The sequence below is a fragment of the Homo sapiens genome, chromosome 7 (assembly GCF_000001405.40).
Source record: "Homo sapiens chromosome 7, GRCh38.p14 Primary Assembly".
Classification (NCBI taxonomy): domain Eukaryota; kingdom Metazoa; phylum Chordata; class Mammalia; order Primates; family Hominidae; genus Homo; species Homo sapiens.
The window spans coordinates 145954633-145967851 of record NC_000007.14 but is presented as its reverse complement, the minus strand read 5'-3'; positions in this window follow the sequence as shown (position 1 = coordinate 145967851).

Below are 13219 nucleotides of genomic sequence, written 5' to 3'. Positions count from 1 at the left end.
ATTTAAGGTCTTCTCTACACTGTTTATTCTAGTTAGCCATTCGTTTAATATTTTTTCAAGATTTAAGCTTCCTTGCGATGGGTTCAAACATCCTCCTTTAGCTTGGAGAAGTTTGTTATTACCAACTTTCTGAAGCCTACTTCTGTCAGCTCATCAAAGTTATTCTCCATCCTGCTTTGTTCCACTGCTGGTGAAGGGCTGAGATCCTTTGGAGGAGAAGGGGCACTTGGTTTTTAGAATTTTCAGCTTTTCTGCTCTGGTTTCTCCCCATCTTTGTGGTTTTGTCTACCTTTGGTCTATGATGATGGTGACCTATAGATGGGGTTTTGGTGTGGTTGTCCTTTTTGTTGATGTTGATGCTATTCCTTTCTGTTTGTCAGGTCCCTCAGCTGCAGGTCTGTTGGAGTTTGCTGGAGGTCCACTCCAGACCCTGTTTGCCTGGGTATCACCAGTAGAGGCTGCAGGACAGCAAATATTGTTGCCTCATCCTTCCTCTAGAAGCTTCATCTCAGAGGGGCATCTGGCTGTATGAGGTGTCAGTTGGCCCCTACTGGAAGGTGTCTCCAAGTTAGGCTACATGGGGGTCAGGGACCCACTTGAGGGGGGCAGTCTGTCTGTTCTCAGAGCTCAAACACAGTGCTGGGAGAACCACTGCTCTCTTCAGACCTGTCAGACAGGGACATTTAAGTCTGAAGAAGTTTCTGCTGTCTTTTGTTCAGCTATGCCCTGCCCCTAGAGGTTGAGTCTACAGAGGCAGGAGGGCCTCTTTGAGCTGTGGTGGGCTCCACCCAGTTGGAGTTTCCCAGCCGCTCTGTTTACCTACTCAAGCCTCAGCAATGTTGGAAGTCCCTCCCCCAGCCAGGCTTGCTGCCTTGCAGTTCTATCTTGGAGTAGCAGTGAGCAAGGCTCCATGGGTGTGGGACCCGCTGAGCCATGCATGGGATATAATCTCCTGGTGTGCCATTGATAAGACCGTTGGAAAAGTATAGTGTCTAGTTGGCAGTGTCCTGATTTTCCCAGTACAGTCTGTCATGGCTTCCTTTGGCTAAGAAAGGGAATCCCCTGACCCCTTGCACTTCCTGGGTTAGGTGATGCCCCACCCTGCTTCGGCTCACCCTCTGAGGGCTGCTCCCACTTTCCGATCAGTCCCAATGAGATGAACCAGATACCGCAATTGGAAATGCAGAAATCACCGGTCTTATGCATCGATCTCGCTGGGAGCTGGAGACCAGAGCTGTTCCTATTTGGCCTTCTTGGAACACAACTTCATTGTCTCTTCTTATAATTTTTGTCTTGAAATCTCTTTTGTCTGATAGAAGTACTCCTGCTTTTATCTGCTTTCCATTGGCATAGAATATCTTTTTCCATCTCTTTATTTTCAGTCTGTGTGTGCCTTTATAGATGAAGTGTGTTTCTTGTAGGCAACAGATCTTTGAGTCTTGTTTTTTATCAGCCATTTATGTCTTTTGATTGTAGAGTTTCATCCATTACATTCACCATTATTCTTGATAAACAATGACTTACTCCTGCCACTTTGTTATTTATTTTCTGGTCTTTTCCTTCTTCTTTTTTTTTCCTGTCTTCCTTTAGTGAAGGTGATTTTCTCTACTAATATAACTTAGTTTTTTTTTGTGTGTGTGTGTGTATCTTTTATATAATTTTTGTTTTGAAGTTACCATGAGGCTTACAAATACTATACTGTAACCTATTATTTTTAAGCTGATAGTAACTTAACACTGTTTACATAAACAGACAAGTAAATGAAAACTAATAAAAACTCTATGCCTTTACTTTATGCCCCTGCTTTTCAAATGTTGTGGCTTCTGTTTACATCTTCTTGTACTATCTATGTCTTTAAATGTTGTATTTTTTTATTATTTCATCATTTTCTCTTTCTACTTATGATAAAAGTAATTTTACACATCACAGTTACAGTGATATAATATTCTATGTTTCTTTGTTTACTGACACACCACAGTTACAATGATATAATATTCTGTTTATTTGTGTACTATTACTAGTGAGCTTTGTACCTTCAGATAATTACTTATTATTTATTACTGTCTTTTTTTTTCTGATTGAAGTACTCTCTTTAGCATTTGTCATAACACACATCTATCTGGTGTTGGTGAAATCTTTCGGCATTTGTTTGTCTGGGAAAAGTCTTTATTTCTCCCTCATGTGTGAAGGTTATTTTCACTGGATATAGCATTCTAGGGTAAAAGTTTTTTTTCCTTCAACATGTTAAATATGTCATGCCATTCTCTCCTGGCATTTAAGGTTTCCACTGAAGAGTCTTCTGCCAGGCATATTGTAACTCCATTTTATGTTATTTGTTTCTTTTCTCTTGTTGTTTTTAGAGTCCTTTCTTTATCCTGCATCCTTAGGAGTTTTTATTAAATACCTTGTGCTAATCTTTGGATTAAATCTGTTTAGTATTCTATATCTTTATTGTACTTGGATATTTATATCTTTCTCTGGATTTGTGAAGTTCTCTACTAAATTTCTACCCATGCACTTTCCTCTACCTCCTCTTTAATGTCAATAACTATTAATTTAACTCCTTTGAGTTTATTTTCTACATCCTGTAAGTGTGCTTAATTATTTTTTCTTCTTTTGTCCTTTGTTTCCTCTGACTGTGTAATTTCAAATAGCCTGTCTTCAAGCTCACTAGTGGTTTCCTCTGCTTAATCAATTCTGATGTTAAAAAACTCTGATGCATTCTTCAGTATGCCAATTGCATTTTTCAGTCCAGAATTCTGCTTGATTCTTTTTATTTATTTCAATCTATTTGTTAAATTTATCTGATTAGAATTCTGAATTCCTTTTATGTGTTATCTTGAATTTATTTGAGTTTCATCAAAACAGCTATATTGAATTATTTGTCTGAGGGGACATGTATCTCTGTTTCTCCAGGATTGGCCTCTGGTTCCTTATTTAGCTCATTTGGTGAGATCGTGTTTTCCTGAATCGTCTTGGTACTTGTAGATGTTCATCTCTGTCTGACCATTGAAGAGTTAGGCATTTATTGTAGTCTTCACAGTCTGGGCTTTTGAACTTCCCCTTCTTTAGAAAGTTGTCTGGATATTAAAAAAAAAAACTTAGGTGTTGTGATCTAAACTATATCTGCTTCAGGGGGCACCCCAAGTCCAGTAATGCTGTGGTTCTTGCAGACTTTTAGAGATACTGCCTTGATGATCTTGGACAAGATCCATAAGAACTCTCTGGATTACCAGGCAGAAACTTGTGTTCTCTTCCCTTACTTGCTCCCAAATAAACAGAGCGTCTCTCCTTGTTTTCAACTCCTTGAAGCATTGGATGGAGTGACACAAGTACCCCTGTGGCCACCACAACTAAGACTCCCCTGGCTCAGATCTGAACCCAGCACAACACTGGGTCTCACCTAAGGCCTGCTGTGATGTCTCCCTGGCTACTGCCTATGTTTGCTCAAGGCCGTTAGGCTCTACAATTAGCACGTGGTAAGCCAGACAGGCCTGTGTCTTTCACTTCAGGGCAGTGAGTTCCTCCAGGCCTTATGTAGGTCCAGAGATGCTGCCTGAGAGCCAGGGACTAGAGTTTAAAACCTTAAAAGTTACCTAATATTCTGTTGTACTGCTAAACTGGCACTCAAACCACAAGATGGAGACCTTCCCACTCTTCCCTACCTTTTCCAATGGCAGAAGAGCCTTGCCCCATGGGCACTACCACCACAGGCCCAAGAAGAGTACTGTCAGACTACCCTCAATGTACCTTTTAGGCCCAAGAGCTCTTCAGTCAGCTTGTTGTGACTGATGGCTGGCCTAGTATTCATCCTTCAGAGTAGTGGGCTCCCTTTCCCCAGAGAAGTTCCAGCAATACCATCCAAGAGCCAAATACTGCAATCAGGTTCCTCGAGACCTCTCTTGGTGCTGTACTCCTGCATGGAGGAGCTGGTACTTAAAGTGCAAGATAACTCCCCTTTACTTTTCCCTCTACTTTTCTCAAGTGGAAGGAGTTTCTCCCCACATCCATCACAGCTGGTAATGTAATGAGTCTCACCTTAAGCCCAGAAGTCTTAGAGTCTCACCCAACGCCCTAACATAGTTCCTGTGTATTGCTGCTGGATATTCAGGGCCCAAAGTCTCTCCAGTTAGCAAATAATAAATGCTGCCAGGACTGTGTCCTTCTCTTTAAGGCAGTGAGTTCCCTTCTGTCAGATGACATGTCTAGAAATGTCATCTGGGACATGGGGCCTGGAATCAGATCTTCATGACATTTACTGGTGCCCTATCCTTCTGACTGAGCTGTTATTCGAGATGTGAAATAAAGTACTCTTCACTCTTTCCTTTCCTCAAGTGTAAGGAAGGGCTCCCCCCTCGGAGCCACGAGCTATGCAGCCTCAGGTTAAAGGAGTGATGATGCCAGCACTTCCCTAGCTGCCCCAGCTGGTGTCTCAGAAGGTCATGTGACCCCCAATCCACTGTCTTTGGGCCAAGTTCAGCACTAAGACTTGTCAAAAAGTTGCAGTCCTTAGGTCCTAGATGGTTTTTCAAGTTTATTTAAAGACTCAGAGCACTTTAGCCCATGGTGGCACCACTTGTGGGAACTCGAATTTTGACCACTGGTATTGGTGATTCCTCTCTGGCTAGGGCTGGTTTGAATGCTCCCTCCATGGATGGGAGTCAGCTAGATTCTGTCCAGTTTTCCTTTCTGCTGTAACAGGACAGCACTGAATTCAAGGCCTCACATTTACTGCACTCTCCCTCCTCCAGTGCCCAGAAATGCTCTCTGCATCATGCTGCTGCTGCTGGGGAATAAGGGAGGGGTGGCATCAGCCATTCAAGACAGTTTGTTTTACCTCTTCAATGCCTCTTTCAGCAATATTAAGTTAAAACCAGCAACTTTGAGTGCTCACCTGATTTTTGGTTATTATGTTGGTGATTTTGTAGTGTAGATAGTTGTTAAATTGGTGTCCTTGTTGGGGGAGCAATTGATGGTGCCTTCTATACTACTATCTTGCTCTGTCTGCAATCAAGACACCGAATTACATTAAAGTGAAAACTTCTCTTCTGTGAAAGACAATATGAAGAGAATGGAAAACTAAGCCATAGACTGGAAGAAAATATTCGCAAAATACATATTTGATAAAGAACTGTTATTCAAAATATACAAATAACTCTTAACATTAAACAACATGTAAATTAACTTCCAATTTATAAATTTGTCTTTGTATTAGCTCTTCTCTCTACATGTAAACCTCTTCCCTGGGCTGCATTCTTCGCAGAATAATAATTTCATCAAAGGTCTTCTTGGAGGCCTTTTTATCCTGACAATGTCATCTCAAGTAGAGGCTGCTGCCCTCTCTGTGCCTTCCTTTCTTACAGATAGAAAGGCTGGGTTAAGGCTTTCCTCTTTGGGCCAAAGCTCCCAAATGAAGAGGTGTTTTAAGCAGATTTGTGTGTCCCCAAATTAGGGGCACCTACACTCACACTCACAGCTCTGAGCAACACCTATTCTCAGGCTGATCTGCCCCAGTCCTCAGGCACCAGGTGCCCCAGAGAAGACACAGGGTATGGACAGGTAAGCCAAAGGGCAGGGGTGAGGTGTCTGGCTTTCACAAGTTTCTCACTGTATCAGGGTCACATGGAGGAATCTTGCTGTTTCTGCATGCTCTACGGTGAGGAGAAATAATTAGCTGGGAGCCAATTAAGGATCTTGTCAGAGGGAGGGGAACTTTGAATAAACTAGATATTTAAACTGAAATGAGACCATTGAAATCATAAGAGCCTGAGATATATTAGTTTTAAGAGATTAAAAAGTGGCATTTTGTTTGCAAAAAAAAGACAATACAAAAATAAATAAAAAGAAAAGTTGGCAAATGGAATCGACATCATAGAAGAAGACAAGCAGATGGCAAATAAACATACGAAAAGATATTCACTATCATATGTTATTAAGAAACTGCAAATGAAAACAACACCTAGATACCACTACGCACGTATTACATTGGCCAAGTTTCAAAACACTTCCAACATCAAACGCTAAAGAGGATTTGGAGCAACAAGAATTCTCATTCCTTGCTGATGGCAATGCAAAATAATGCAGTTACTTGGCAGACATTTTGACAGTTTCTTACAAACTTAAACATACTCTTACCATATGATTGAGTAGTTGTGCTTCTTGTATTTACCCAAATAAATTGAAAACATATGTTGACACAAAAATCTGCACACAAATATTTATAGTTTCTTTATTCATAACTGCCCAAACTTGGAAATAATCAAAATGTCCCTCAATACATGAGTGGATAGACAACCTGTGGTACCTCCAGACAGTGGAATATTATTTAGTGCTAAAAAGAACTGCGTTATCAAGCCATAAGAAGATGAAGCTTGATAGTCCCAGCTACTTGGGAGGCTGACATGAGAATCGCTTGAACCCAGGAGGCAGGGGTTGCAGTGAACAGAGATCCCATCTCTGCACTCCGTGCACTGCAGCCTGGGTGACAGAGCAAGAATCTGTCTCAGAAAATAAAAAACAAAAAAACAGAGGCTAAGTACCTGTAGTTCTGGGCGCCCTCCCTCACCTGTGGACAAGGGTCACTTACTGGCTGCTTTGACCAAGAAATGAAACTTGCTTTTATAAGGAATAAAGGAAAACTAGGCATGGTGGCTCATGCCTGTAATCCTAGCACTTTGGGAGGCCAAGGCAGGTGGATCACCTGAGGTCAGGAGTTTGAGACCAACCTGACCAACATGGAGAAACCCCATCTCTACTTAAAAAAAAAATTAAAAATTAGCTGGGCATGGTGGTGCATGCCTGTAATCCCAACTACTCAGGAGGCTGAGGCAGGAGAATCGCTTGAACCCTGGAGGCAGAGGTTGCGGTGAGCTGAGATTGCGCCATTGCACTCCAGCCTGGGCAACAAGAGTGAAACTCTGTCTGAAATAAAAATAATAATAATAATAAAGGAAAACAGCAGCGAACCACATTCACTTCTATAAACTTAATGTGATGTGACTCTTTTGCACCTCTTATCTGCCACTGTGATAGTAAACCAAAGTGAAGGCAGTTTGTCTTTCTCTCCAGTCTTAAATCAGAAAGAGCCTGGGACTGGTCTGTCATAACTGAATAACATTTAGTTTTAGGACTCCCAAATCACTGTTTTAGTGACTTCCTCAGTTTTGATCATTAAAAGCCTTTTTTTTTTTTTTTTTTTTGAGAGGGAGTCTCGCTCTGTCGCCCTGGCTGGAGTGCAGTGGTGCGATCTCGGCTCACTGCAAGCTCCGCCTCCCAGGTTCACGCCATTCTCCTGCCTCAGCCTCCCGAGTAGCTGGGACTACAGGCGCCCGCCACCACGCCTGGCTAATTATTTTTTTGTATTTTTATTAGAGACGGGGTTTCACCATGTTAGCCAGGATGGTCTCGATTTCCTGACCTCGTGATCCGCCCGCCTCGGCCTCCCAAAGTGCTGGGATTACAGGCGTGAGCCACCGCACCCGGCCTAAAAGCCTCTTTTTGCTTCTTAGATTATCCAAAACGTCTATTTTGGTTTTCTGGTTAGGTTTGCCCTGACTGAAAAGCAACCCAGGTCTGCACACTTTTGATTCTTTTCATTTGCATTAAAATGGGTCTGCCTCATGTCTCAAATCCCTTATGGTCCTTCTGTGTGCTGTCAATTACGCTGAATAAGCTAATTTGTGTTAAGTTTTTAATGGCCCATTTTACTTCCCTTCTGAGAAATCATATTTATCTACACTACCAACCTCAAGTAATATGTTAAACCTGAAAGAATTACAATGCCATTGGAAGCTAAGACTCATGAAAGCATTCTACAAAATGAATCCCATTTATTGACCCTTCTAAGTCTATCAAAATAGTAGAGAGGGGAGACATTCATAAGGAGAGTTTCAGGAGAAAATAGTTGATATGATTGCGGCTGGTAGGTCACTAACGATAATAATTGTTCAGAGAATTCACATTGCAATCTAGTTTTTGTCTATTCCAGAATCTCAGTATCAGTCTCAACACACACATTGGAATCTTGCCATTTCAACACCTACAGCATGATTCTTCAAGTCTTTGTGTGTTTTCACATAGGCCATTCCATCTGCATGGTACGTCCCTTCTCTTTCTTATGGTGAAGTGAAATTGCGTTCATTCTTTAAAACCCAGTTAAAACACTACCTCCTCTTTAAGATGTCCCCTGATGTTTCCAGGAAAACAGTTTTTCTGGCTTGTTTTTATTATCATTTGGTTTACATTGTATATAAAGTAGTTATTATATTGTATTATAGTAACCTTATTTTTTTGACCAGACCAGAAATATTTGCTAGAAGCAAGCATATCATATTCAACTTAGTATTCTTTTTTAGGGCTTAACAACATACCTAAACCATAATATAGAGAAGCAAATGGATAAATAAAAAAAGGAATGAATATATTGCCTTTCCGAAAAGTAAGCTTGGGGGGCAGCAGCTTTTCAGTAGGTACAATAATGAACATTTCTTAAGAAAAAGGTTCTATTTCTGCTATAGGGATCTTATAAATATCAGCATTAAACAAGTGTGTAAATTATGAAATTGAGCTAAAAAATTAAGTGAGCCCAATTTTTACAACAGAGTCTTATGATTTGATGATGGTTTTGTTTCTCAAACAAAATCAAAGTTGCACTGACCGCAATTTTTGACAAAAGAGAATGGCAATTTTATAGTATACAAAACATTATTGTTAACTATACTCAACCTACTGTGCAATCGGACACCAGAAGAGAGGATTTTGAATGTTCTCACTACAAAGCAATGACGAACATATGAGGTGATGAATATGCTAATTACCCTGATTTGATCATTATACAAAGTATACCTGTAGCCAAACATCATATTATACTCCCTAAATATGCACTGTTATTATGGGTCAATTAAAATGAAAAAAATTATAATGGCAATTTCACTACACATACTTTTATCATAGTGAAGAAATGGGAATAAGAGAAGTGTGTAGGCCTAGTTGCAATTAATCTATGTCTTACTCAATTATATGCACTAATAAATTTGGAGTGTTTTTTGCTTCAAAGAAACTTGAACACAAAAATTTGATAAACACTGATATTTGTAAATTACCAGCTTGTGTGGTAACTTCATGATATATTTCTTATGCCAATAATACTAATCTTTTTCATGAGTTTTTCATTCACTTTTGATCAAAGAATGCAATCATTCTTTCTTCATTCTGTGAAAATCTGCTGCTTAATTATTCCAATTTGTGTGATTATTTTAGTTACTTTAAGAGAAGCAAAGTATTTTATTGGGACTAGGGAGCAATCATTGTCCACATGTAGGTTTAAAACAAGATTGTTTTATAACCCGGCAGTAATTTTTAAGGGAAGAAATTATCAGTTATAAAATTTAGATTTTTAAAAATATTTTATTTGAAATTTTAGCCTTAAATTAATATTATCAATGAAAGCATGTATGCCTTAGTGGGCATAATCAAGATTAAAAAACAAAACCAGACAAAAAAATATAATTATTATTATTGTGCTATCTTATTGTACAATCTTACATCACATTAAAAAATATGTAGAGATAAATACGTTCTCAGAGATTAAAGACAGTTAATTCCAAGATTAATTGTAGTTCATAAGGATAAAATCAGCCTGAAGGTATACAGTACTCTAAAATACTGTTTCAACATCAACATAAGAAGCTTGAATAGAATCACTATGACAAAATAGCTGTAATTTGTTTTCTATTTTGAAAGTGATCTTTTAAATTATTTTTTTCTATTAGCCTAATTTAGCATAGCAAATAAGGATCTAGATTCATAATAATTTTGAAGTTGGCTTTTAAAAATACATTAAATACTTCACTGAATATTTAATTGAATATTTCAGGCCCCTATTATCCTTAAAAAATACAAATCAATATATATAGAAAACATACTCAGTATCCAAATCAGTAGTCAGCTATATAATTTTCTCTGAATATAATTTCTCAACCAAAGGAGCCAGATATCTCCCTAATTATTCAGTTTTTCTGCAGAATATGATAGCTTTTAAAATTGTGGTCACCCACAGGAATGATATTTTTGATGGTCACACAGATTCTAGGAATTTCTCTTCTTCTGCCCTTTCTTTCCCATGAGTAAACATGGCTGTGGTTATTAAAATAGTGGAAAAAATGTTCTAATACTATCCTTGTTGATCCTAGGAATTGAGCAATGCTTGCCTTGCAATAAAATCAGCTGTTAGTGAGTTACAACACAAGAGTTATCTTTCTAGATTCTCTGTCAGTGACAAGACGAATAAAATAATAGTGTCTTTGCCATTTCAATTTGCCAAACAGAGGAGATATTTTCTATTTATTTTTCTATTTTCTGGAAACAATACATGTTGAATTAAAAATGTATGTATGTTCTGGACTCATGCAGGGTATTATTACTTTTCTAAGATCTGAAAATATAGATACGTTGGATATGAAATGCTGAAGCAGCTGCCACTTCCTGAACACCTGCATCTAAGGATCAGATTATTTGCTTAATGGGGTTGTTAAAGAAGTATTATTGTACCTATTTTTTGGTCCAGTAGTAAAGGATAGAAATTTAAAAACTCCTTTCACCATGACACTATTCAGAAATAACTATGTCAACACAACCTAGTAGAATATTTTAATTGTAGAAAGTTGACCATTCCCTCTCAGATTAAGTATGACAGACATAATCATAGCATGATGATGTTTGAGGACAGTTTTCTGAGTTAAAATACAGAAGTCAGGGAAAATAGAATATACATATTTTCCCTTGTCTTCCAACTAAATGTCCTTGAACATTTATATACAAAATGAACATTATTAAACCCTGAAGGGTGGAGAGAAGGCACCCTATTTGGGAACTTCAGGAGCCTAAAATCTACATGTTAGTTCCCTGGGTTATAATTTCCCTCATATGTTCCATATTTGAAGCTGAAGAAGCTAGCAACCCAGAAAAACCAACATGGGCAAGCAAAAATCAAGAAATAAATAAACAACACCTCAAAAGCCCACTTCCTCCGGACAAAGGCCCAGGAAAGGGGTATCCTGGCAATACAGAGAAATTTTAGATAACAACCACTCTACACTAAAACAAACAGCACAAAAAAATCTGCAGCCTGACCACATTCACGGTCATAAGGAACAAGTAAGGAGCCTAGACTTCCATTTTTACCAAGCTGTAATGAAACACACCAACTCCATTGCCCCTTGGGATGGTGTCATAGATAGTTGTGTAGGAAGTTAGGATATTTTGTCTGACTGACAGTCGTAACTTTTTCTCCTCTAAACATTTTTTAGTGCAATAGAACATATACCAAGATAGATCATATCCTGGAACATAAACCAAACATCAAAAAATTTAAAATAGTTTTTGAAGAACCCCCCAAAATATTCTCCATAGTGCTTATACTAATTTACATTCCCACCAACAGTGTACAAGTATTCCCTTCAATTAATACAGAATATATTCACTTAACACAATGGGATCAAACTAGGAATCAATAAGAAAGATAACGGTAAAGTCTCCAAACACAAACTAAACAATAGACTTCTAAATAATTTATGTGTCAAAGAACAAATCTCAAGGGAATACCAAAAATACATTGCCCTGAAGGAATATAAAAATAAAACTTCTCAATACTTTGAAAATACAGTTAAGGAAGTGCCAAGAGGAAAATTTATAGCACTAAATGCTTACATAAAAAAGGAAAAGTTTTAATTCAACAATCTAAACTCCTACCTCAAAAATCTAGAGAAGGAATAGTAAAGCAAACCCAAAACAAGCAAAGGGAAATCAAGATAAAATGAGACATCAATGAAATGAAGAGAATATCAGTACAGAAAAAAAAAATGAGACTAATACAGAAAAAAAGACAAGATAAAAAATTATCAATAACAGGAAGTAGATATCACTACAGACCTCAGGCCCAGATGGTCAGACTGGGTAATTCCATTAAAACTTTTAAAAAGAATTAGCACCAAACCTGAAGGATCTCTTCCAGAAAGTAGAAGAGTGGACAAAACCAAATTATTTTAAGAAGCTATTATTACCCTGATATGAAAACCAGATGAAAGAATATTGACAAGGAACACTACAGAACAATATTTTTCATAAATATAGATGTAAACATTTATAACAAAGTTCTAACAAATACAATTCATCAACATATAAAAAAAATTTAAGCACTATGACCAATAGGGGTTCATTTCAGGTAAGTAAAGGTGAGTCGATAATGGAAAATAATTCAATCTTGTGATTCTTTTAATTTATTCTGAAAAAGCATTTTATGAAATTCCATACTCATCATGAAAAAAGCTCATAATCATGATAAAAAGATTGAAATCTTTACCCCTGAGATTCAATAGCACAAAGCAAGAATATCCATTCCCACCTCTTTTGTTCAATATAGTGCTGAAAATTCCACCCAGTGAAAATATGCAAGACTAGGAATTAAAAGATAGACAGTTTGGAAAGGAAGAAAAAATATTCTCGCTATTTTTAGGTGACATGATTATTTATGTAGAAAACCCAAAGAAAATGAAGAAAAAGAAATCCTAAGTCTGATAAGTGAATTCACCAATATAACAAATGCAAGACAAACCTATAAAATGAGTTGTATTTCTATATAACACCATTTAATGCAAAATTAGAAATACAATGTATTTTACAGTTGCTTAAAAAGATGAAATGCTCTGGTATAAATCTATCAAAACATGTTAAGACTTTTATGTTAAAAACTGCAAAATGCTGATGAAATAACTCAAAGAAGGCCTAAATAAAAGACATACTGTATTCACGGATATGAAGACACAGCATCGTAAATATGTGAATTCTCCCCAAATTGATATGCAGCTTTAACACAATTCCTATCAAAATTCCAACAAGATTTATCTGTAGATATTGACAAGATATTTGAAATCGACTTATATAGAAATGCAAAAGAATATGATAATTTTCAAAACTTTGAAAAAGTAAAGTTGGAGGAATAGGTCTACCCAATTTTAGGAGTTTTTTTATATTGCCTGTGATCAACATTGTATAGTATTGAAGGAAGACTAGACACATAGATTAAGGGAACAGAATAGGAAAACCCAAAGAAGACCCACACACATATAATAGATTTCTGGAAATATGGGGCAAAAGCAATTCACTGAAAAAAAAATAGGTTTTTCTTCAACAAATGGTGCTGGAGCAATTGGATATCCAATGA